Here is a 26,594-nt window from a genome sequence, read left to right as displayed (position 1 = left end):
GTGTATAAATCTTGGGCCTCCCTTCCTCTTTCTCACATTGTCCTCAATAACTATAATCTACCACTGGCTCAAACTTTTGTTTTCAATCTGATTGAATGGCCATGTTGTCCCCAGGCACCTATAAGTGGTTGTGGTAGGAAACTAGAAGTATGTTAACATGTCACCTAGGAGCTATGCCTTTTACCTCACCATGCCATGCCAAAAGAGGACATACAGTCAGAGAGGGGGAAGAAAGACACACACACACACACACACACACACACACACATAAACAGAGAGAGACAGAGAGAGAGAGAGAGAGAGAGAGAGAGAGGCTGGTTGAGATTAATACTTGGAACCTAAGGTATGAACCTACTTTTATCACATTCTCTTCGGCTAGCCTGAGATATTCTGCAGGCCCCCAGTGGTTGGACTGGGTTTTTGTTTACTTGTTTGTTTGTTTTGGTTTGGGTGTTATTTTCCATCAGTTGGGAATACACACTTAAAGAGTGGAACTCTAATATCCCACTACCACTTCTCTATATTCTAGGAGCAAGAAGACAGTTTGTTTCTATTGACGTTGCAAAAATGTGTTAAAAACATAACTTCAATGCTCTGTTGTGAAGAAGAGGGGAGGGAGGTGCCCAGCAGACCCCACAGTTCTCTGGAGTCAGCTCTGCAGTGTCTCCTGGGGTTCCTCTTTACCTGCTTTCCTTGTGCTTGTCTGTGAGCCAAGCTTGCTATGATTCCTTTGGGGCCATGTCTGTAACTAAGGCCCACTGGTAGGTTTCAAAGCTACAGAGCACTCCCTCCATGGCCATCCCTCAGTTCCAGGAAGATCACTCACAGCACATGATACATCAGGAGAGAAAAACTGTGCATGCCCACTAATAGATAGTGCAGAGATCTAGGGCACCTTAGTGTATATGCTATGCTTCCTCTATGGACTGTCTATACATTTATTTTTTTAATTACTGTAGATTTTAGATGGATAATTATGAACCCTTATTCAATAGGAGTAGGTGGGAGAGGAAGATAAGGTAAGCAGCAACAATCCATTCAAGGATCCACATGAACAAAGCGTCTTTGGTCTTCAATGAATACCAAGAAAGTAAAAGGAATTTAAAGACCAAATTACCTTTGCTAGATATTTCTATACAAAAAGGCACAGTTCATACCTCCAAAAATCCAACTGAATTATGAAAATATGAATAGAATAAAAGATTCTTTCAGGTAGAAGACGCTTAAGGAGGAATCATGTTAAGATCTAACATGTTTTGAGGGTCTACACTCTGCCAGGGATTATTCCAGGAATTTCTATATTGATTACTATATTTAATTCTCAGAATGTTCCCCACGAATCCCATTAAACAGATGAGAAAACTGAGGTGCAGAAACATTAAGAAACCTGGGTAAGGTTATCTGGTAGTATCTAGTGGAGCTGGATTCAAACCAGTTCAGTCCAAGTGCAAAGCTCAAAGCTTAAGCACGGCACATAATTACTTGGGAGGATGACCAAGAACAGACGCATCACTCTGCTGAAGAGTGGAATTTTCCTTTAGCCCTGGGGTTACGCTCTTATGAAAATACCCCCAGGATCTGAAGAAGCCTCAGAGCCAAGAATGTTCCTCTCCCTGACGGGCACCAGCATTCCCAGGGATGCGGTTCCCAGTCCCTGCTGGGCCAGGGCAGGACTCCAAAGGAGGGGATGCGTTCTCCAGCCAGTGCAGGAGGCCTAGCCCTGTGCTCTCCAGGCAGATGTGGGTCCTCGAGGTGTTTTCTTTCCTTTTTCTTATTTAAAGAAAAAACAAAACTCTACACACTCCCCACATGTGAAATGGCGCTCGCACTGCTGCCAGACAATAATTTTACAGTCACACGATGACCCTTGAGCAAAGAAAAGAGGAAAAGCCTGCACCCCACCCAATCCAAGCCCAGGAGAGTCAACCTTTGGAAAAGCCCAGGTCACAGAAGATCAAACTCACATGCTGAGGAACAACAGGAGGTGGGGAGGCTGGGGCGGGGGAGAGGATGGGGAAAGAGGAAGCATAAAGTTTAAAGGTCAAAACAAATGTCAACCTAACACCAGTACTGTATGAACAGCACACAGCCTCACTGCTAGACAAATAAATGCTGCCGGGGAGGCAAGGTATCAAGAGGTTTTATTAACTCTCTTCCTGGAATCGTACACATAGGAAGTCTGTTCCATCATATAAGCTGCAAAGCACAATATTTATCCCTTGGGGGGGAAATCATGGAGCTGATATTGAATCTACAATACAGAGTTTCTCCTCCATTCCCTTCCCAGCCAGCCTCTGTTCTTGCTGCACCTCCAGGGGCCTGTGAGCAGGAAATACCCACGTTGATTTTGATAAGAGTGGAAAGGGCTGCATGCTGATGAGAATTCAGGGCACAACCCTGCCTCCACCTTCTGCTCTTTCCCAGGCATAACGTGGTCCCTCTGAGCCCAAGGGAGGCCCGAGATGAATGGCATCCACATGTCCTCCTCACCGTGGGTGTCTCTGACCCTGTGTCCAGTTCTGTGGGGATCCCAACTCTGTCTTAGGGACTTACATAAAAAATGTCCTTTTGCAGAGCCCAAAGCAGTTAAAGAGAAATCACTGGATGGATGGTCTGGGCCTGGCCCCTTTGCAGGGTCTTTTGGATGAGCTCTCTGCCTATTCTCATTGTGCTTGTTATGTTAGCTGCTCATCTAACAGTTTCACCCTCAGAAACTCTGGTGAGGGTCCTCTTTCAGTAACGGGACCTGACACCACCTGTGCACCCATGCACCATCTAGACCAGGTAGACGAAACCACACCAGCCTCTGTGAGGGCTCACAAAGACACTTAATTGCAGAAGTCCCAGAATTCTCACTCTCAATCCTACCATCCAAAGAATGCTCTAGACTGTCCCTAACTCCTAGTAGATCCTGAAGTTTCACCCTCAGAAGTTCTGCATCAGTAGATCTGGAGTGGATCCTGGGAATCTGTATTTATGAAAAATTCCCAGGTAATTCTGATGCAGCCAGCAACCCCAACAGCAGGCTGAAAATGAGTGACATAGGCTATCAGAGATCATGGTATTGGCCTCCCTGCAAGGTGAAATCAATAGTCTAGAGTGGGCAGCTCAATATGCAGCAGGCCACTGTGATGGCCATGATGAACCTCACATGACCCAGAACCCTCATTCTAAGGGCCACACAGTTCTCTATATTGCCTTCCGGTGACAATCCTGGGTCTGGAGTCACACCTCCACCTTCTGTTCTCAGGCATTCTCTGATTCCAAGAATGCCTTCTGGAATCCAACTTTTCTTGCTCCCACCCTACTGTCAGGAAATATTTGACTCTACATTCTAGTGCATAATGCCTCCCACACTTTCTGATAAGATTTGGTTTACTGAGCTCCCAGACATCTGTATAGTTATCACCTACAATTGAAGACTTTTAAAGGAATGGCGCTAAATCTTTTGTGGGCTGTTCCTGAACAATTAAGGCTGAAAAATGTTTTGCTCTGGCAAGTGTGAAAACAAAAACAAAAACAAAAACAGGGTGAGATATTTGTCATGAAACATCCAAGTGCAATAGATGAAAACACGAATCCACTGCATATCCCAAGGACACTTCAAAAATACCAAAATTCTAGACTAAAAGGATAAATCAAAGGTGAAAATAGATAAAATAGGTTAAAAATAAACCAAATAAAGGAGGTGAACTTGGAAGATGTTTGATGTCTAACTGATCAAGAGCCACAGAAGTAAGGACATTAACCCACCATCTCACCCAGGATCAGCCTCAGGCAAACCAAGGAGGTGCTGTTTTCTTCCAGGCTCCCAGCCAATACTCAGCACGTTTTACTTATGGCTCTATGCTCTCTCTCATCCAAACATGCTAGCCATAGGGTCCTTATTCTCTTTTCAATTGCTTCCACAGAAACTCTTCTCATTAACATATCAGTTATCAGTCATTAATATTTCAGTTCGAATAGAAATCAGTATTATCTCTCCTGTAGAATTTGCATTCTGTGTTTGATTTCTCAAAAGAGCTGGGAGGAGGGGAAAGAGGAAATGGAAAGCAGCGTTTTCCTCTTCCTTTTGAAAGAATTTCAGGATCCACTAGGAGTCAGGGACAGCCTAGGGCTTTCTTTAGATGGTTCAGTTGAGAGTGAGAATTTGAGGATTTCTGGAATTGTCTTTGTGAGGCCACACAGCAGCTGGTGTGCCTTCATGTACATGGTCTAGATGGCACATGGGTACACAGGTGCTGTCGGTCTCGATGCTAAAAGATGACCCTCAGCACAGCAGCATATGTATGTGAGTGGCTGAAGATGCCAGCAAGACTCTGCCTTTTCCCTCCATGGCCACAGAAAGGTGGCACTTCATGAACTTCTATATAGCATAATAGTGGTTGTGCATGTGACTTCCTTTTTTGTTTGTATTTGATTTCCTTATAAGAATAGTTATGGGAAAGAATAAAGCTTTGAATTCTCTACTCTCCATTCTCAACAAGTAGATACAGAAATACACACTCAATACTCACTTCTGGACCCTGAAATGCACCTAACATAGAAGAAAAGAAGAAAGAATTTAGACAATCAGAATGTATTGGAGAACTTGGCTTAAGCCAAGGCAATCTAAATAGGTATCTTTTAATGGACACATTCCTAAGAAATCATCATTCAGTAAGAGCAGAGATAAACAGCACATTCTGAAAGGAACTTCTTGTGGTCTGAAAAAAATATCAGGACTTTTGTATTTTGAACCTTTTGCTCCCAAGGGACTTGCATTTGTTAGAACCAATACTAAAGAGTAAAGACTTGTTTCAGGCTAAGTCCAAAGCTTCCCGAGGTTGAGCTACCATGGAAAGAAATAAAAAATGGCATCAAGACGTAAAAAGGGACATGTGTTAAGTAGAAATTCTCTACCCAGATTCCCATGGAAAGTCCAACTGCTGGGACCCTTGAATTCATTGTAGATGAGAGTTCCTTTTCTGGACCAACCACCAAACCAAAAGCAAGCCCCAGCACCCTCTCCAGCCTCCTTGGTTCAGCCCTGAGCAGTTAGCTGACCCTTCATCTTGTTTTTTTCTCCTCTCTTCCCTGCCATTTTAGTGTACCTCCCACCTCTGTTACTGAAGAAAAACCACAAGCAGGTATGTTATACCCAACAGGTCCCACTGTCCAACTCTTTTCAGAGGGCTGTTGCAGAGACAAAAGAGTCTATCTGCCCATATTCCACTCTATCACCCACTGTGGGTATACGGAAAACAACTGCAGAGCAAGCAGTCTTTGTCTTCTTATGAGGGTTTCCAGGAGGTTTTCTTGAGCAACCAAGGGCAACTGTCAAAATAACAAAGTCTTTAGTGAAACAGATCTCCGTATATACTTTATGAGGTTTGCAACAATTCAGGAATTGTAGGTTTCTTGTGTAATTCATTGTCTGATATGGTTAAGCAATGATCATTATAAATCCACTAATGGGAAGCTCAAATCCTTTTAGAAGGAAAAGAACAAAACACCCGGTAATCACCAAAAATCTTGGTGAATATGAAAAAAACCTCAGCTAGTCTTGACAGATCCTTAATGGAACAACTTGTATTGTAACCAACCCAATTCCTCCAAAAGTAGAGAAACATTAATTGAAGAATTAAACTGAATAAAGAAATCTGAAAACATTTACACCTTATCCTAAGCTCTGCCACACACGACATACATACCAGACACATACCACACACACACACATACACACACATACACCATGAAAGCATTTAATAAGGTTTTAAGTATCTGTGTATGTGTCTTTCAAAATATTTTTAGAGAAAACTTCACTGGAGATCCCAATATGTAACATAAATGAAAAGCAGAGCTTGTATGGTTAGAGTGGGGTCAGAAGAACAGATTCCTCTCACTTAACAATCTCTTGGCAATCAACATTGGACTTTGAAGCATCAAAACCTCCCAAATCACACCTTAAAGACCACCAGCCCAGACTCTACAAGATCTTACATTACTAACAACAGGTGCCCCTACTGTGCTCCTATACAGAGACACCAAAGTGAAAGACGCATGAATCTTGATTCCAAGGAGCTCAGTCTATTACGGGAAAGAAAAGTCATCAGAATTTTCTAACCATTAGAACAAGTAATGTGATAGAGGCAGTCACAGGATGCTATGGGCTTCCAATGTTCATCCTACCAATAGTTCTCAGGACACTGTTTCAAAATGGACTATCCTTTATCAGCTTCCTAACTTTGAGGCAGAAGATTGGGTGCTGAGAAAACGAGTATATCAAAGGCTTGTTTGAGAAAGACTCTATGAAACGTCTATTTCGTTTTATTCCCACTTAATATCTACGCTGTAAATAAGTGATGATGTCAAACATTTAAAGACATAAGAATAACATAATTTTCACATGATATCAAACAGCATACATCTCCCCCAGGATTATAATGCTGCAGATGGGATGGTGGTGGCCTATGTTGACCCTAATCACAAACATGAAGCTAATAACGCATATCACATTTAATGCAATTTACTAACCTGTTTAATCTTTTTTTACAAGTATTTCATATAACCATCTTAAGGAGGTAAGGAGTTCCTAAGCTGAATACCAATTTGGTGAGTTGAATTTGCTGACATCCTTTCCTTTGCTGAACTAGAAACTTTTAAGTTCAAGACCCAAGTCACAGGTGGTGACTCCTCTGAGAATAGTTTTCTAATAAGTTGGTCTGTGCCCAGATAACTCAATTTACTCCCACATAACCTGTGGAGTCCTTAATAGCTGCAGGATTGTGTTTTTCTTTGTAGTAATGGATGCCATTATTTTGGGGAATGAAAGAAAACACTCACACTAGTAAGAAGGGAAAGGAATAAAGGACTGTAGAACCTTGGGAAGGAGGACAATGGCCATGCAGATGAGCGCATCATCTGTGCTTGGACATCCCCAGGAGAGGGAGATGACTACTTCCTGTGGGAGCTCATTCCTCTTGGACAGCCTTTTTAAATTTTTATTTGCAAATACAAATTTTCTTAAGTTGATACAAAGTTTTTCTTCCTGTCACTCCTACCTATTGTTTCTAAATTTGCTCTGTGAAACCACAATGAAAGGAAATTCTCCCCCTTCCATGGGACAGACCTTCATGGGGTCTTACAGATTGCCCTCCAGTGATCTCATCACTTTATTCCCCAGCACTCTGAGGGACTATAATAGATCCATACTCAAAGATATAAGTTTTTAGAGATTATTACCATTTCATTTTACATTTTTGAAATTGCATAAAATACACATAAGATAAAATTTATCATCTTAATCACTTTTTTTTTCAGAGACAGGGTCTTGCTATGTTGCCTTGGCAGGCCTTGAACTTTGAGCTCAACTAATCCTCCTGCCTCAGCCTCATAAGTAGCTGTTACTACAGGCACCCACTACCACCCATGGCTCATTTTCAACCACTTTTAAGTGTATAATCAGTAGTATTAAGTACATTCACATTGTTACGCAACCATCACCACCATCCATCCACAGAACTCTTTTCATTGTGCAAAACTGGAAGTCTATATACGTTAAAAGAAGAACCCCTCCTTCCCTTCTATCACCCACCCCCTGAAACCACTATTCTATTCTGTCTCTATAAATGTGACTACTCTAGATACTTGTATAGATGGAATTGTACAGTGTTTGTTCTTTTGTTCTCATTTCACTTCATATAATGTCCTCAAGTCTCATCCATGTTGTAGCATGCATTCAAATTTCCTTCCTTTTTAAGGCTAAATAATGTTCCATATCATCATTCCAATTTACAGACCTGAAAAATCAAGACTACAAGAAGTTAAGAGCTTTCCTAAGGTCACACAACCAGAACTGAAGCCAAGCCCCATGACCCGTTGTCCACTGCCGGACCATGTATCATGCTCTATTTTCCATATGTCCTGTATTTCAATGTGGACTGAAACTGAACAGTAAGCCTCCTTTACCAACTTTCCCTAGGCAAAGAGCTTATCTTGTTCTTGGAAGCAATTCCACACACACACACCCCAGAATGGGAAGTACCTTTCAGATAGAAGTGAGTTTAAAAAGCTTAGAGATTGCAACTCTCAAGATCCAAGCACTGGCAGAGGAACTAGGTGAGGAAGCCTGTGGATTTAGTCCTACTACAGGCTGGCTAATAAACACCACTTCCTTAAGTATAACTCTAATTACTATTATAATCATTTACTCTGTTCCTTTTGAGGGGCAGCATACTGCAAAGCCCCTTTTCTTTTCTTATGCTGGAACTTGAGTTCTTGTCATAGGTAGTAGGAAGAGGGAGATGCTTCATGGGTGCTTGTTTGTTTTTAATTCTTCCTTTTACTTTCACTCTGGATGTGTGTTGCTCTCCCTCTCCTGCTGAGAAATAGGGAAAGGCATAGTAGAGTGTAACCGGAGTAGAGCTCAGTCATTCCTCACAGCTATTACTGCTTAATAAAGAATAGCACTTCTGCAAGGGATGAGGTTACTGTCATTGGGGCATGATTAATAATGATTAATTTGATCTGTGCCAACATAAACTGGATCCGCCATTCACTAAATAATTATTCCGTAGCCTGGATACCATTTCCACAGGGCTCAGAGAAGTTGCTGGCCATTTATCACATTAAAACAAAACAAAAAACCTACATAAACAAGAGAAGATAAAATTAGAAACCATCACCAAAATAAAACCAAATGCCTTCATATCCACCCACAAAATGCCTGCTTAAAGCTGGAAACAACAATAACAACAAAACCCTCGTGTCGCTATCTTGTTCCAAAGAGAGAGAAACAAAACCAATGGGAAAACTTCTTTCCTTCTGCAAGGAAAGAAGAGGAACCAAATCTGCTTTTTTTTTTTCCTACAGAGGGAAAGGTACATCTACCTACTCAATTGATCTTCACTTCTATCTTATAGGCAAGATATCAGCACCCATTCAACACACAAGGAAAGTGTGGTTTGTGAGCTCTAGGTGAATTTCGTAACACGGAGCTTGTTTGCGGCAAAACCTGGTCTCAACCCAAGGCTTCCAACTTAAGGGCTTTCCTTTGCTGTGGCCTTTAACAAAGTTCATCCTGGGCTAGATCCTAACCCTGACTGTCTCTTCTGAGTTCTATTTTTAGAGGGGATTACTTCACAAATCATTTTACAAATATTTGTTGAACATGCACTCTGTGCCAGGCACTATGTTCTAGGCACAAGGACACAATGTGAGCAGAGCAAAGTCCCTGCCCTCAAAAAGCTTCCACTCTAGCACAGCATGGCAGGTAATAAACAAATAAGCAAGTAAAATATGTAGTATGCATTTACAGATAAATGCTAAAAATAAGGCAGGTTAAGAACAGAGATGGCCGGGCGCGGTGGCTCACACCTGTAATCCCAGCACTTTGGGAGGCCAAGGCAGTCAGATCACAAGGTCAGGGAGCGAGGCCATCCTCACTAACATGGTGAAACCCCGTCTCTACTAAAAATACAAAAAATTAGCCAGGCATGGTGGCAGGTGCCTGTAAGTCCCAGCTAATCAGGAGGCTGAGGCAGGAGAATTGCTTGAACCCAGGAGGCGGAGCTTGCAATGAGCCGAGATCGCACCACTGCACTCCAGCCTGGGTGACAGAGCAAGGCTCTGCCAAGAAGAAGAAGAAGAAAGAAGAAGAACGAAGAAAGAAGAAGAAAGAAGGAAGAAGAAGAAGAAGGAGGACAGCCAACAACAACAACAACAGAGGTAGTTAGAAGGGGAGAGATCTGTGAGTTTTTACAGGATAGTCAGGAGAAACATCATGGATAACGAATGGATACATAAGCAGAGGAATCAGGGGCAAGTACTGCAGGTGTCTGGGGGAGAATCTTACAGGCAGAAGAAATGGCAAAAGCCAAGTGCTTGAGACAGATTTTGGTTTAGAGTATTCAGTAAGGTGGAACACAGTGAAACAAGGCCAACAGCTAACGGACCAGGTCATGCAGGACTCCGCAGGCCATTGCCAAGAGTTCACTTTTGCACAAAATGAAATGGGGAGCCATGGGAGGGTTTGGAGCACAGGAGCATCCTAATTTGACTGATGGTTTAAATGATTACTCTAGCTACTATGTGGAAAACACAACGGATATTAGTTTGGAGTCCAGCTGTTAGGTCCAGGGTATAGATAAACATTTGGTGTTCTATGTGTGTAAATGATATTTAATGCCATGAGAAAGGACAGAGAAGAGAAGAGGGTGGAGAACTGAGCCCTGAGGCACTCCAATGTTTAGAGGTCAGGGAGATAAAGAGGGACCAGCAAAGGATTCAGAAAAGGAACAACCAGTGAGCTATGGAGAGAATAAAGAGCGGTGTCCCAGAAGCCAAGGGAAACATATTTTAAAAAGGAGGAAAGGATTAATATGTCAAATGAGACTGTGAGGTCAGTCAGTAATTAATGTTATCAGAAGCGTAGGGATATCTCTCCAAAGATTATTTAAATTTTGGCTTTCAGCATAATTAGAAGAGTACCGGAGAAAGCGTTTCATAGCTTTAAATGACCATTGCCATTTACTATCTCTCTTGAGTTTCCAAAATGTTCACAGTGGGAGTTTAGAGAGTCAATACAGTAAACATCAACTGCAAACAACGCAGCTCCATGCTGTGGCTGGTGGTGCTTCCTTTCACCAGACACGCAAACACCTTGATGTCAATTGCCTCTCTGTTTCTCACCACATGCCAGGAAGCCTAGAGGGAGTGATCAGTTTACCTTTTCTTATTGTAGAGGTGAAGACACCGGGACACGAATTTGAATTATTTCCTTCGATTCTATGCCACATTGGTTTGTACCATTAACATATCCCCTCTGCCCATCAAAGTTTGACTTCCATGACCTTGCATTTAACGTCTTCTATGACCTACTATTTCATAACTTCAACTATTTACTCCAGCCTCTGTAGTTACTCATTGTTCCCTCAACACCTGGAATGATGTTTTACTTATGGACTGGCATGCTTCCCTCCCTATCTCTATTTAATTTTTAGGCCCAGTTAAATTCATCAGTGAAGACTTCTGTAAATGAGGTCTCTTCAAAGTCTAGAATAATTTCTGTCTTGTCTTTGTGCTGCTCATATAGCACTTATTATATACATATTAGTGTTTGCCTCCTGCTAATGATATCTTTTGGATGACAGGCACTAAATCTTTACCAAGTCTTTATTCTATGTAATACTTGACACCATGCCTTACACCAAATAAATACTCTGTTACTATTTAGAGAATGAATGAATAACTCATAAAAAGAATGATCTAACTTAAGAGCTAAAAGCAAGTCAATAGTTGAGTTCAGTTCAGGACCTTTAAATTCTGACACTTAGATTCACTTTAGAAATGGCTGTTCCTTTTTCTGCCAATGCTAATCATTGATGGTGACGGAACTGTTAAATATACTTTGAAGGACTTGGCTTTTTCACCCCAGACATGGGCTTGCATTGCCTTTCCTTCCCTGGGTACCACTCCCACATTCCCAGCCTCAATGGGAAACTCTTGACCCATATCTGTTTGAAAAATAATTACATCTTCCCTTTCTGCTTCACAATATACCCTGTCAACCATTGAGATAATACTATATAGTAAACAAGAGACAAGTCAATGGTTATCTGCTCTAAGCACTGCGTGCTTAGAACTATGCTAGCACCACTCCCACCTCTACCTCCATACCTGGGACACAGAAAAGAATGGACAAATACCTCTAGCTTTACATGTACTTGAAGATCTGAACAAAATGTAAACCTGTATGTGCAACTTGCTTAATGGGTTGTACAGTCCAGATAACAATATCTTAAGAACTCAGGGCCTAGGGTAATACCAAGAACAGGCTGCTGTCAAGGAAGAGCTCCTGAAGAGGTGTGTTCTGGGCTGGGCCTAAAGAACTGGAAGAATTTGCTAGAGTGATAACTCCAGGGAGAGCACTCCAGAACTGGGAAAAGAAGTCAGGAAAGCCTGAAGCAGGAAAAAGAAAAAAAAAAAAGTGTTTAGAAGCTTGGTAGAACTGTCAATTGGCCAAAGGGAGAGGTAAACCTTGAAAGACCAGTCTGGCCAGCTGGCCCAGTTCATTACATAACGGTCCTAATATAGCACCCTCTGTGCATTTAGATGGCCAGGGTCAGCCAGGGTACAACAATGGGGCCAGGTCATGCACAAAGACCTACCACGAGTCACAAGTCATGGAAGGACCACTGGAGCAGGAGTCAGAAGGCCTGAGTCCAGGCCCTGGCTCGGACATCAAAAAACCTATAAACAAGGCAACTGATTTCTCCTTGCCTTGATTTTCTCCCCTTAGCAGGAAAAAGGAAAGAAAAACAATTGTTCTGCCTAATTCCTTTGGTTATCACGAGGCTCATATACAACAATGATTACCAAAGGTCCATTCAAAAGCAATATGTGTATGGCATAAATCTCTAACAAAAATATAGTAGGTTGTCTTAAGAAATACACTGACATAACAACATAGATCCAATAAGAGCACTGTAATCTATGGCTGCCCTTACTCAAGAGGACATTCTCTTGATAAGGAACTGTAGTCAATTCTTCAGGATTAGTAGGGTGCTGTAAAGAATGTTAGGATCAACATGGACTGATCTAGCTGTGCTATGATCTATCATGTATGACCCTGGGCAAGCTTTGTAAGCTTGCTAACCCTCAGTTTTTATTTAGTTTTATTTATCAGTAAAATTAAAATGTGGGAGAGGGGACCAGTAAAGGTTGGCCAATGGGTACAAAGTTATAGTCAGATAGAAAGAATAAGTTGTGGTATTCTATTACACTGTAGGGTGATTATAGCAAATAACAATGAAGTGTATAGTTCAAGATAGCTAGAAAAGAAAATTTTGAATGCTGTCACCAGAAATGATAAATGTTTAATGTAATGTATATGGTAATTACCTCAATTTGATCATTACACTACATATATATCCATTGAAAACCCACATTATACCCTAGAAATACGTAAAATTATTATGTCAATTATAAATTTTTTAAAAATAAATAAAACATGCTTTAAAAATAAATAAAGTAGCACGGCTGATTTTGTGGTGAGAATTAAAGATGACCTCAATGTAAAAGTTCTAAGTCAATCTCTGGTACACAGTAGATACAAATGTTGTAACCATTTTTATAATCATTTCAATATGAAAGACATTATGGGCAACAGATACTATGTCACATTAATCAGCCATATGCAAAGGATTGAAATGTCTTTGATATCATAAACATAACTTAAATCTTATTTAAGATTCCTTCCTTCTTTTTGTATGTCCTTTATTTCTCAAACTGAAGATGGCATGGTGGAAATCACCATTCGATGCTATTTAAATATATTTTACTGCGAGTTAAAAAACAGTATATACACCTCCCTCTATTTCCATACCCATCTTATAAAAAAATCAAATTCTAGGTCTAGTGATTGCAAAATAACTGAAAAATGTATTGTTATCGCACACTACACTTGAAATTTGAATTTGATTTTGTGCTTCTGTCATGTTTGGATTGGCAGGGGCTAGAGAGAAGAGAGAAGGAAAAGGAAAGAGGAGGTGTGTCAGCCAGAATGGTTCTGAATAAGCATTTAAACTTAAAGGTAATAAAATGCACTGGGCTTCAGTCAAAGCCTCACTCCTTCCTTTGATGACAGAAATAAGGTCAGTTGACCAAGATTTCAGATTTGGCTTTTGCTGGCCACTGCTGCATTGAGATCTTGGGTAACCAAGGCAGAACTGGGCTTCTAAACAGGTCCTGGCTGATAATTTATAGGTTAAGCTGAGCATCTTCAAGTACAGACACATTTCAGGCCTCTGCAGTGCACCCACGTAAACCAGCTTCCTCCCTTCCCCATCCAGAGAGAGATGTCTGAGACCTGATGAGAGGAGGCCTCTATCTCAACAAGGAAGTAGTGAGAAGTTAAAGGTGAAAATATTCTATATGGCCACCTTTAAAATAAGGTCTGTTTCAGCAACAGTGTTTACCAAGCTAAGCAAAGGTCTGATAGGAAATGGAACCACCAGTCAGGGACATGTATTACCCTAGTACTGTTACAGCTATTGTAACAAGAGCCTCCACCACCACAACTCCTGACAATGCTCAGCTGAGAAGGAGCCCAGGTTCTCCACAAGCATGCAGGCCAGAAGTTCCCAACCTGGCCACACATACAAATCACCTGGGGAGCTTGAAAGAAATACCTAAAAATCACCTCTTGATTTTCTGGTTTAATTGGTACAGGATAGGATGCAGACGTCAGTTTTTTGGAGTTTTTTGGTTGCTGCTTTTAAAATTTCCTAGTGATTCCAACATGCAGCCAGAATTGAGAACTAAAATCTAGTTTAAAGCCATTGCATACAGCACAGGAATGTGAGGCTCAAAGATTTGCCATGAGTGACTTGCCTAACATCATAAAATGTGCTAGATTAGTTCTTCAATCAAATTGCCTTTCTCTCATTGTCCAATATCTTTGCAATATTTCAGGGAAATCTTTTTATTTTAGACTGAATTATAAAGCTTCTCTCCCCAGCTCACCCCACACACACTGTTTGGGGAACTGAAACTCTGTAAGGCTAAGATGGAGGAGGGAACTGAAAGGTGAAACTAACTTTAAATAGGAACGAAACTGACAAGAGTCAGCTCAAAGGCCAAAAGAGGAGAAATGAAGCAAATGAAAACAATCCACCTCACTGAGAAAAGCCAGTTAGACCCGGAAAGCTCTTTCAGTTTAGATAATTTAAGGTTTCAGGGAGGGATTATGCTTTACATGTTGAACGTATCACCTTCGCAGGAAAGCTTCGCAGACGCCACAATTCTTGGGGGCAACTGCAGAGCCATAAAGGTCTGCTGATTGAAAACATACCTCCTGATATAAAACAGGAAGACAGTGCTCACGGCTCATGGACCACTATGGGTAAAATCGAGAGGCTGCCACCATCCCATGCCCTGTAAAAGCACATCTAACCCCCACAGCAGCACATTTTGATAACTGAAATATTTTCCCCTTGCCACATCACAAAAAAACTGACTCACCAATTATGAACTAAGGGAATAAAAATGATGGTTCTCCAATTTGGAAGAGCCCACATTTAGATTTTCTCATGGAGAAACGTGTTATTTAGAGAGACTAGTTTTGAAGAGAGTTTGGGTGTAGACCACGGGCCAGCATCACACACATACAGCATCTGTGGTGGTCCCTGCAGACGTCCCAGGGACGCATGGGGGGCTTTTCCATCAATGGACAATGGAAGAAATGCTCCTTAATCCAAGTTGGTATTTTCTGATGTGGAAAACATAGGTGGGAATCCAGGTCCGTCATTTCTCACAAGACCATCCTAATGATCAAACCAGGAAAGAAAAAGAGGCAGTCAGGAGAACTAGATTGTCAAGGACATGCAATGGTTCATTGATGTGATTTATGAAATCAGCAGCAAGATCTTTTTAAAAATCTTTCAGGCCGGGCGTGGTGGCTCACGCCTGTAATCCCAGCACTTTGGGAGGTCAAGGCAGGTGGATCACGAGGTCAGGAGATCGAGACCATCCTGGCTAACACAGTGAAACCCCCTCTTTACTAAAAATACAAAAAATTAGCCGGGCGTGGTGGCAGGCCCCTGTAGTCCCAGCTACTCGGGAGGCTGAGGCAGGAGAATCGCCTCAACCCGGGAGGCAGAGCTTGCAGTGAGCTGAGATCGCACCACTGCACTCCAGCCTGGGCAACAGAGCGAGACTCCGTCTCAAAAAAAAAAAAAAAATTCTTTCAGCTCTGTGACTTCTGGAGTCTCAAGATTTAAGGTCCTGAGATCTATTCTCAGCTGTTTTATTTGCTCCAAGGAAAGTGCCAATTAGTAAAGAAAATGATCTCAGAACAGATTTATTTGATCAAACTTCTTAATTTGGCTAAAGCTCAGGAGTGTGTGTGTACTCTCAGTCTATGAGCTCTGGGGTGTCCTGACATCAGCGGCTGCCTCAGTAATCTATGTCCAGACTAACCTCTCCCTGCATCGGTGGCAAAATTAGAGCTGTACGCTACACGGATAATAGATGGGACGGATGGAAGCTGGGATTTCCCTGTTCTCCCTCCTGATAAGAGAGTCCTCCACCCCGCCTCAACCTTAGTACTCGCTGAGACAATGTATAAGAGACTCATCTCCAACTAGAAATGGAACGGTCAGAAACACATCTCTCTAACAAACATAAATGATGTACCTGGGATGTCTTGGGACTTAGACTTTCCTCATTATTATCCTTTGACACATTTTGAATTGTGATAGGTTTAGCAACAAATTAATGTTACTTGATCTACACAGCACTGTGTTATTTATGCATTGCTTCCTATAATACTTTCAAACAGAGTTCTTAAGAGTCTGGACTCAGGAGTCAGGATTAAATCTCGGTGGTGTGAAATTGAGACAAGTCGTTTAATCTCTCTAAATCTCCAATTTCATTATCTGCTAAATATTTCCGTCAGATTTGTTAGGAAGATTAAATAAGATAGTACAGATGAAGCACACAGTAGGGAGGCACATAGTAAGTGTTGAGTAAATGTTCACTATTGCTACTAACATAATGTTCTTTAGACCTTACAATAATGCAATCCAGTTAACTGTAGTGGAGGCTGGCCGGGGATACAGAGCACTCAAATTCAGGCATATATAAGTGTATGCGTGTGTTCATGCATCCTTGGCTATAGGTGGCTAGTGCGGATTGAATCTGTCTAGTCAGCGAGCATTAGCAGTGAGGCAGGCTCTACAGAATGCCATGCTTGCTATTCCCAGCAGGGGTAGAGCTGTATATGGACCACACAGATAGTTGGTAAACCACTAATGGAGACTAAGTGTATTTAATTCAGATCATACATTTTTCACGGACAAAAATGATCAGAGAGACTGATCTTGGCCTTAAAGCCAAATTCAGGGCAGAGGGGGAGTGGCCACTGAAGGGATTTTGGAAATAATCTCCAACCTTCCCCACTGCCCTAAATCACCTGATGCTGTTGACAATATCATAGGGGCTCATCCTAACAACTGTATCTTATCTTGGATGGCTGAGGAGTCAGATACGTGAACTAAATTATACAGCCGCTCTCCCCTACCAAAAAAAAAGAATTTAAAATGCTAAATCTGCCTTTTGTCAAATAAATTTAGAGTATCCATCTGCAGGGCACCAAAATGCCACATTTGTGAACCGGTAATGTCATTTTGAAAAATCAAGAAATCCACAAAACTGTTCCCTGGTGCTCTCCTAAGCATGTCCTCACCCCAGAGACAGCATGCCATTTATTCTCCCCACATAGAGGGGTGCCAAGTTCCAATTCACAGAGCAGCCCAGGAGAGCAAGCTCTCCTCCTGGGAAGCACTGAGAATGGCAAATTTTAAGGACAGAGGTTTATATGGAAAAAAGATACTACATCATTAAGGAGGTTAATGAGCTTAGCAAGGCAGAAGCCCTGAATGCTGAGGAGGGGAGGGAAGAGAAGGGAAAGGGGTGGTGTGAGAGACACATCCAAAGAATTGCTTCCATTCTTCAATGTCTGGTGTGGTCAGGAGGCACCCTCCTCATGGTGGTCATTGCAGCAGAAGGACAAGCACTCCCCGTGTGCCCTGGAGCCTGGCTTGTGGCTGGGCAGCAATCTGCCCTTTGCGTCCAGCCCTGGGCTCTCTGAGTGAAGGATGTACTTGACAGCACTGTGATCCCAGAAGGCTGTGTGAGAAACCAACTAGTTCAGTGTTTCTCAAAAGTGGTACCAGGGAAAATGTGTCCTACTTGAAAGTGTTCCATGATCAAATAAAGTTTGGGAAAAACCGCATAGCACTTCTCACATGTGGAGACTCACGAGGCACATTAGCAACATTAGCATGTGGAAGACCCTGAGAAACGCTTTATAATGAAAACTGTTTAACTTTTCTTTTTTTTTTTTTTTGACATGGAGTCTTACTCTGCCACCCAGGCTGGAGTACGGTGGCACGATTTCAGCTCAGTGCAACCTCTGCCTCCAGGGTTCAAGTGATTCCCCCTCCTCACCCTCCGGAGTAGCTGGGACTGCAGGCATGTGCCACCACAGCCAGCTAATGTTTTTTGTATTTTTAGTAGAGACGGGGTTTCACCATGTTAGCCAGGATGGTCTTGATCTCCTGACCTCGTGATCCACCTGTCTCGGCCTCCCAAAGTGCTGGGATTACAGGTGTGAGCCACCGCGCCCGGCCAATTTTGTTTTTTAATTGGAGAAAAGGAACACAAATTTTATTAACACGTACACAGAAGAACCACAGAGTGAGTACCCTGTTTAACTTTTTTTAACCAAGCTGTATTGGTTAGGATCTTCCAGAGAGACAGGACAAATGGGATATATATAAAATGGAACTTATTAAGGGGGAATTGGCTCACATGATTACAAACACAAAGTCCCAAGAGAGATCGTCTGCAAGCTGGAAAACCAGAGGAGCCACAAGCATGTCTCCCAGGGAACTAGTAGTGTGGCTCCCAAAGAGGCTCAGTCCAAGTCCAAAAGCCTCAGAACAAGAGAAGCCAATAGTGCATCCCCTAGCCTGAAGCCTAAGGCCTGGGAACACTCAGGAGGCTGCTGTAAGTTCCAGAGTCCAAAAGCCTACAAACCTGGAGTTTGATGTCTAAGGGCAGGAGGAAGAAAAAAAAAAAAAGGTGTCCCACTGCGAAGAGAGAAAACAAGAGGGAGCTGAGTATCTCTGTTCCTCCTCCTACTTTGTCCTAGCCCGCTCCCAGCTAATTGGATGATGCCTCACATTTACAGTGAGTCTTCCTCTCAGTCCACGGACTCATGTCTCAATATCCTCTGGAAACACCCTCAGACATGCCCAGAAACAATGTTTCACCAGCCATCTGGGCATCCCTCAATCCAATCAAGTTGACACCTAATATTAACCATCACACAAGCATCTGTAAAACTTTTTTAATCACTGAATTTCCTCCCTTCTCATTTTTTAATCTAACAACATTTCATTTTGGAAAACATTTTCTGAAAAGCTGTTTTGTCCAAGATCCTTCATTTTACAAAGTGTGAAATGGGTCTGAAGTTTTAGTAACCTGCAGAGGGTTAGAAACAAGTTAGTAGTTCATATCTTTCAGTGAGTTAAGGGCATAAGATAGTTTGGAGATAGATTCCAGAAATTTGGTCAAAATGCCAGGACAGAATAATGATTAGCAAATCAATACCAACCTATTGATTATTCTCTCCCAAGAGCACTAGGCTGAAGGAGTGTCTTTGACCCACTATGTTGGGGCTTTGGGTATACTAAATTCCAGACTCATTCCTGAGAGAGGATTTTAAGCGTAAACAGAATTCATCATCAAGCCCAGCAACAGATGCATGAAGGTGAGATGCAAGTCCAGTAGACAGAGAGCCAAAGAGAACCAGAGTGACAAAGTTCACACTGGTGTGGGTGACAGAGTCTAAATAATTTATTAAGCGGTTTAGATAAATTCTTGAGATGAAGCTCCATTCTCTTGACTGGGTATCTATATGGTCTCATGTGTTAATATGAGTATGTGGTACTTATTTTAAGAGGCCAAGACCACAGACATAAAGGGACTTCTCTATAAGAATGCTCCTGACTTTTAAACTTAACCCTGGCCTATTCTATGATTTCATCTAAGACATTTAAAAAAAATTCAAATCCACTGATGATACAAAATAGAAATAACCAAAATGATGGACAAACTACATCAAATTTGAAATAATCTCCACATTCTGGGATGCCAATCCAAAATCAACTTAGCATTAATGAAACTACTGAGGTTTAAGTTCTCATAAACACAGCCTAAGAAGACTAGGACCCTACATAAAGTACCCTACAGAAGTCTCACTGTGTTCTACATCTGGAGGAATAGGTTCTATTTTATTCATATTTAAGGTATATTTAAATATGACATGCATAAAGAGAGTAGCTCTCACTTAAGAAGGTTTACTAGGAATAACCTGCAGAGTGATTGGGAAACAGATTAAGACAGAGAGGCCTAAGGCACTGCATCCAAGTCATTTTCAAATACTGGGGAAGCTGTCTCATAGAACAGAGGATAGAACTGGTTTGTAGGGTTTTTAAGAAACTGAACAGAGGCGATCTATGGTGAATGCAAGGAGAGAGTATTACAGTGCAATATTAGAAATAACTTTGCATGAGTTTGAGCTGTCCACAAATGGTAGGTAGCCAGATGTCAAGCTACCTTCGAACAGCCAACTCTAACCAGACTTTGCCAGAATTAGGTGAGATGGCTTCAACTATGCCCCAAGAGTTATGCCATCCTTCTTCACCTTGTCTCTTCCAGATTCCTGACTTCCTTCCCATTCACGACTATGATTCAGTCTTTTTCCTTCCTCCCTCACCCTGCTGTCACTGGTCCACCACACACCACCTTTAGTGTTCCACTATTCTTTCCCTAGACACTTGACTTGATTTCCACCCATGTCAACATTCCGTACCTCCAACATGAAACTCATGCTCACCTAAAGCATTTCTGTCTGGGTCATTCATGGTCTTGGCAGGCATGGGATAGGGTGGCCAATGCCCATATGCCCAGAACTTGAGAAATGAATTTCCTTGGGTGTGGGAGACTGAAGCAATGGCCTAGAAAGGCTCCATAATGGTGTATTTCTATTATTTGTTTAGGTAGCACTACTTCTAATACACAAGTCTGTCAAAGGTTAGGCAAAGGCATTTCTACGACATTAAGTAACCCAGGCTATGTCTGTAGTTCCTATGCTTAGGACACCTGGGGGCCAGGCTCCTTAAAATGATGTTTCCCATGGATGAAGGAGTATTCTCATGCCAGCCTCCTAGGATCTGTCCGGATTATCATTCTGGGGTTTTATGATTCGTTGCACAAAATCCCCATTCTTCTGTGATGAACCCATGGTGGGTTCAAATTGGTCCCAACACAAGAGCAGCCTCAGTGGATTAGAGGTTCTGGCAGGAAACTGATCTATAAACTCATTAGTAGCTCATCTTTCTCTGTAGGGTTTTGGAAATAATCTACAAGCAAAGTGACCTCTTGATCTTTCAGAGAGGAACAGTAGAGAGAATATAGCAATGTAACATAAAAAAACCATAATTGTCCCAGCTTTCAGTAGCTTTGAGAAAGTTACTAATCCTCTCTAAGTCTTGGTTTCCTCATCTGTAGATTTGAGAAGTTGGAATCAGTAGTAATTTCTAATTTTTCTGGGTCACAGACCATCTTGAGAATTTGAAGAATGTTGTAAGCTCTTCCAAGAAAACACTTAAATGCACATATATACAAAATTGGGCATCCAATTCCAGAAGGTTAGAGGAGAACCTGAAGGCCACTTATGACTATTGACAATGATCTTGGAACCTAGGTCAAAGGCCCCATGGACCAGTCAGTGATAACTCTCTATGCTGCCTCCACTTCTCCATCTTATTTCCTACAAACCTTCTTTGTAAATGTGAGATTTTATTAAGTATTTTTCTGTTTTTGAGCCCCCAGTCAGTTACACAAGAGTTCTCATCATACCACATCCCTTAAAGTAACATATAAAATATATAAAATTTGTCCAGTATACTCATTTCTTTAGATGACATAGAGACAGCAATTGATAATCAGTCAAGTCCACAGTTGTTGCTGCTGGAGTGCAAAAACATGCTGCACATTTCCCTACTCAACTAAAGATTTCAATACCCACCAGCACTTCATTTAGGTCATTCCCCAAGAACTGCCACATTCCTTGAAGCGTTCCTGTTGCCTGCCTAGGTCTCTAACCATGACATATATACTTTCTACCTCAAGACCCACAGACAGCTATCTAGGTTCTCTGTTCATGAAGAAGATAGTCCTGGGCTCATCCCAGCACTGACCACCAATCAATGTAATGATCAATCATTCAAGAACCACTGGAGTCCTGCAGTGTCTCACTCTATAATTGGTAAATCACCTGGATTGGGCGGGTAATTCATTGAATACATAAAAATCAAATATACAAACGTGGATTGTTCTTTCACTTCTTCCATATTTTTTATTTTTTTCCCTGTATTTAAATGTTGTATCCTGCTTCTATAGACGTCATTGTGTTCTTCCAGAATCCGTATGTTGAAATCCATATGTTGAAAGGAGATGGTACCTTTGAGAGGTAGTCAAGGTGAGATGGCTAATAAAGGTTAGTGAAGCCTTTAGAGAAAGAATTAGTGGCTTTATAAGACGAGGAAGAGAAAGTCTCCACCATGTGAGGACACAATGAGAAGGCAGCTGCCTGTAAGCCAGGAAGAGAGCCCTCACCAAGAAGTGAATTGGCCAGCACCCTGATCTTGGACTTCCTAGCTACCAGAACTGTGAAAAATTTATGTCTATTTTTTAAGCCACTCAGTCTATGGTATATTGTTATAGCAGCCTGAGAAGACTAATACGCCTGCCTGGTTTCCAAATGTATTGAAGTTACCTTTATTAAGGATTTACTAAGAAAAAGAAAACTGTTTACACTTTGAGAAATACGAAAAAGCATAGTTCCTCCTTTCAAGTTTCTGGCATTATAACAAAAGAGAGAAGATATGAATGAAATTGCAAGAAACAAAATGACAAATAAAGGATAAATCAAATAACAATAAAACCTGCAAATAACTATAAATAGTAATAAAAATAGAAACCACAATTTCCATATGATTCATTGTCAAATAGTGGTAGAAAAAGAGAAAGGGGCATGGAAAGTAAAGAATGGACACAAATCAAATTAGGAACTCCTTGCCCTTGCTGATCTGATAACCTCTCTCATCTACTTTCTTACCTTCCAGCTCTCTGCTCTATCTCTCAAACTCTCTCAAAATCTTGTCGCTAGGTAAGCTGTGAAGGTCTTCCAGCTAAAGAATGTGAGTTTGTGAACTGTTCTCCTAGACTAGCAGTGGCTAGCTGTGGGGAACAGAAGGGTGAGGCTGATGTGGAAAGCATGTTTAACTCTCCCTTACCTTCCTGCTTCTTTCTCCTCCCTTGCCTACCCTTTTCACTGTCTACACATTCCATAAAAACAAACAAACAAAAAACTTTACTTTGCCATGTCCTGCAGGAGATAGTAAGTGCTAAATATAATGCTCTTCTGTCCATACCTCTCCATGACCCCCAAATACCAGGCTGACCCTTGTGCACTTAAGTTTGCTCATACTGCTTCCCACTCCATCAGCCTCATCATAACCACAGCCCATAACCTCAAGGCCCAGCACAAATCTCACTTGCCCCAAAGAGCCACGTCCTACTCAACTGGCCCACAGTGGTCTCCTATCTTTTTATATTTATAACACAGACTGTCAGTACCCTACACACTTTGCATCTTAGCTAGTTTTGTTCTTAAAATCTTTCATAACTTGATATTTTTTATGACCTAGCTAAGCCTATTGAGAGCAGGGGTCATGTCTTCCCTTCCCTTATATTCTCTACAAAGCAGAACTCTGAAAGAGCAGTGAAATGGAGATAGGAAACCCGGAAGAAGTCTGGTGGTGTCTGGCATGATTAAATGCCAACTCAGGTGGCCAAATGCCTTCAAAACATCCATCGGATGACTGCCATACTTGGACCCTAAAACATCTCCCAAGTTTGTCCAATGATTTAAGTTCCAGAACCCAAATCTAATTTAAATTGGTTCCCAATTGTTACGGACAGATGTTTGTGTCTCCCCCAAAATTCATGTTAACACCCTAACCCCCAGTGTGATGATATTAGGAGGTGGGGCCTTTGGGAGGTAACTGGGTGTAGATGAGGTCAGGAGGGTAGAGCCCTCATAATAGAGTTAGTGTTTTTATAAGAAAATGAAGAAACAGCAGAGCTTCCCCTCTCTGCCCTGTGAGGCTATAGCTAGAAGGCAGCCATCCACAAACCAGAAAGAGGGCCTTCACCAGGAACTGAATCTATCTACTGCCACCTTGAATGTAGACTTCCCAACCTCCAGAACTGTGGGAAATACATGTCTGTTGTTAAAGCCAGCCAGTCTATGATATTTTGTTATAGCAGCCCAAGTTGACTAATACACCAGTATTTTACTTCTCCTATCAATAAACCAGTTTCTCCGAAGTCCTCTTTGGCAATTAAGCCCAGAGCTAGACATTCCCCATCACACCTCCCTCTTGCCTTCCCACTTGAAATCTTTCCTGTTCTTCAAGCCTTAACTCAATCTTGCATCATTTATGAGTCCTTCACTTTCTATCCCACCCTGCTCCCACCCAGCCATCCTTCTTCATTGTGAGCTCAAAGCAACAACTGTCAGTACCACTCATTGGATGCTTCACCATGCATTGGCATATCAGAGAAGTCAGAAAACAACAAGTGAATGAACACATATGGCTGTAACAACTCTGGATAATTTAACTTTCATTTTTATTTACCTTTTGTATTACTACCATATCCCATGATTATAGGATGCACAATTTTTTACTTCTAACTTCTTTGAAACTGTCTTGTAGTTTATGATATCTTAGATTTGGTGAGAGATGGTATTTTAATTTTCATATGTATGTCTGTATGCAACAAACCGCAAGCTCTTTTAAAAAAGGACCCACATGTTGCAGATCAATTTTCTCTCACTTGCCTAGCAAAGATGCTGTGCACAGTATCAGTCCTTCATACTTTCTTGCTAAAAGAAGAAATTGCTTCCCTGGAATCCAGGGAAAAGCTCCATCTCCCAGGGTCTGGGTTTCCTAATTGTTGCCTTTCTCCCGAAAAAGAATGGCACAGGCAGAAAGCAGCCAGACTTGAGTGTGTCCAGTGATGAGGGAGCTTCATCCTTGGTCCTTTCTCTCCCACAATATTCTAGAATTCTAGAATTGGAGGCACACTCTGGTTCCACTGTAATTTTTCTCTCTGAAGGCCAGAGTATCACTTGCATCTCTGCGCCTCACCTTCTCTTTTATAAAATGGGTCCAATTATTAACTCCCCAACGAGGGGTAATGAATGTAACAGAACTAAAGGATGATATCTTATAAGTGCTGCAGAGGAGGTCATAAGTATGATTATGCATCTGCCTTGGGAGAGTGTTGCTTTGAGTGATGGAAAGGGGGAAGAAGGCTTGGAGATCCTAAGTTGCTGCTCTTTGTAGATAATGTGCATTAATGCCTCCCCTTAAGCTTGCCCCTCTCATAACTACCCCAGAAATCACTCTGCTGACAAGCAGGCAAGCCTCTGTGGTCATGGAGATTACAACAGAGTAGAAATGATGCAGACAGCCAGCAGAGTGTTCTGCAGCAGCCCCTGGGAGACTTTTGCTTACCACCTCTCTTCACCTGTCTGCGAGTCAACTTGTGTGTCCTGCCACATCCCCACAGAGAATGTGCAAATATGTCTCGTTGCATGATCCATCCTGCATTTCCCAATAAATAACAGACACAATCTAAGTTGCCAAAAGCCGCTTATCTGAGACTGATCTTTATGTCTGGATCTGAGGTCCAGAAATACCAAGCCAATGAGACAGAAGCTAAGTGGACACTATTCCCTTTACCTGCATTGCTCCTGGGATGTGCATGCACAAGCACGCACATGGTGCCTGCACACGCACAACCCTCCTTTCAAGGGGCATCTCAAGCAGTCTTGGATTGAGTTCATGATATCAACTGACCCACTGCATAAAGCATGACCTCTTGAGCTACTTGAAGTTTGACCACGATCAGGAATTGTCCTGAAGTTTTGTTAGGAAAAGCAGTGAGACTGAAGCTGATAAAACTATCATGTTCTGCTCTTCCCCAGGCTTGTGTGCTCTCCTCTTCCTCCTCTGGAAAAGTAAACCAATGTTCTTGTTTGCTCTCCTTATTTTCTTTGCCTCTCTAGGCCTACATGTCTAAACATTTCTTCCTAAGTAAATAGGAAACAGAGAGATCATCTTTTATACTAACTCTGAGAAATATATTTGCACCCCTTCTTCTTGTTAGGGCATGAGGATCCTTGAGAGCAGTGAAATGGCTTCCTTCCTTCCTTCCTTCCCATCCTTCCTTTCCATCCTTTCCATCCTTCCTTCCTTTCTTCTATCTTTCCCTCCATTTCTTCCTCTAGTGGGAGGGGAGCAGGAGGAGTGACACTCAATGGAGTTGGTGTTTCAGGATGCTTCCTTCTCCAGAGTCCTGTACTCCAGTGCAGTCAGGGTACTGCCAGCCTCCCCACCCCACTCAGCCTCCCAAGGCAGAAGCATAGATCCATGCAGCATCTTTACAAATACAACCTGACCTATGCTCTCTGCCAGGGAGGCTGTCTCTACATAAGAATCAGAACTAGGAGTGCAGTCTAGGGATAGCTGATCTCCTAGATATCAGCTTGTGACCTAATAAATTTGTGAAACAACATAAACTCAACCACACTTGAAGATCTGTGATGCTTATTAACATTAAAGGCTTTGAGACATCCTACTGCAAAGACATCAGATTAGCTTTGTTGAACCAGTTGTTTCCCAATGTTTCTTGCTCAGAGAATTTTTTTGACCTCTAACACCTCTTAACATTCTGAATAACTGAGTTACACAGACTGCATATTGTAAAATACTGACTTTCATATTTCTCATGGGAAATGTAGGAAACAGACAGAGGCATCAGCGTACTTAATCTCACACATGCACAACAATGTGGAGCAGTGCATAAAAAGTAGAGCAAGCTCTGGATTGGGAGGCCAGGATGTCTGG

General features: G+C 41.9%; 1 protein-coding gene across 19 annotated transcripts in view, besides 1 other annotated feature; it reads right to left on the bottom strand.

The window, feature by feature from the left end:
• SETBP1 (SET binding protein 1) overlaps positions 1 to 26,594 on the bottom strand; it is a 388,438-nt gene that overhangs the window by 294,404 nt on the left and 67,440 nt on the right. For 3 of the 19 annotated variants that reach the window (XM_047437479.1, XM_047437480.1, XM_047437481.1), the window contains exon 3: positions 1 to 26,594. This exon is cut by the window's left edge; it is cut by the window's right edge and continues 34,837 nt beyond it. The exons of 15 other annotated variants lie outside the window; for them this stretch is intronic. The gene's annotated coding sequence lies outside the window, so the exon portion shown is untranslated. One more of the 19 variants, XM_024451157.2, reaches the window with a different exon arrangement.
• Positions 14,451 to 14,760: an enhancer, noted in NCBI's record as "active region_13255". NCBI's record gives its function as "activates an Ori minimal core promoter by ATAC-STARR-seq in GM12878 lymphoblastoid cells {active_cell/tissue: GM12878}" and the evidence as "EXISTENCE:reporter gene assay evidence [ECO:0000049][PMID:35858748]".

Source organism: Homo sapiens, chromosome 18 (assembly GCF_000001405.40).
Source record: "Homo sapiens chromosome 18, GRCh38.p14 Primary Assembly".
Taxonomy (NCBI): Eukaryota; Metazoa; Chordata; class Mammalia; order Primates; family Hominidae; genus Homo; species Homo sapiens.
Note: the sequence above shows the minus strand (reverse complement) of the source record. Positions and strands in the feature narration are given on the sequence as shown.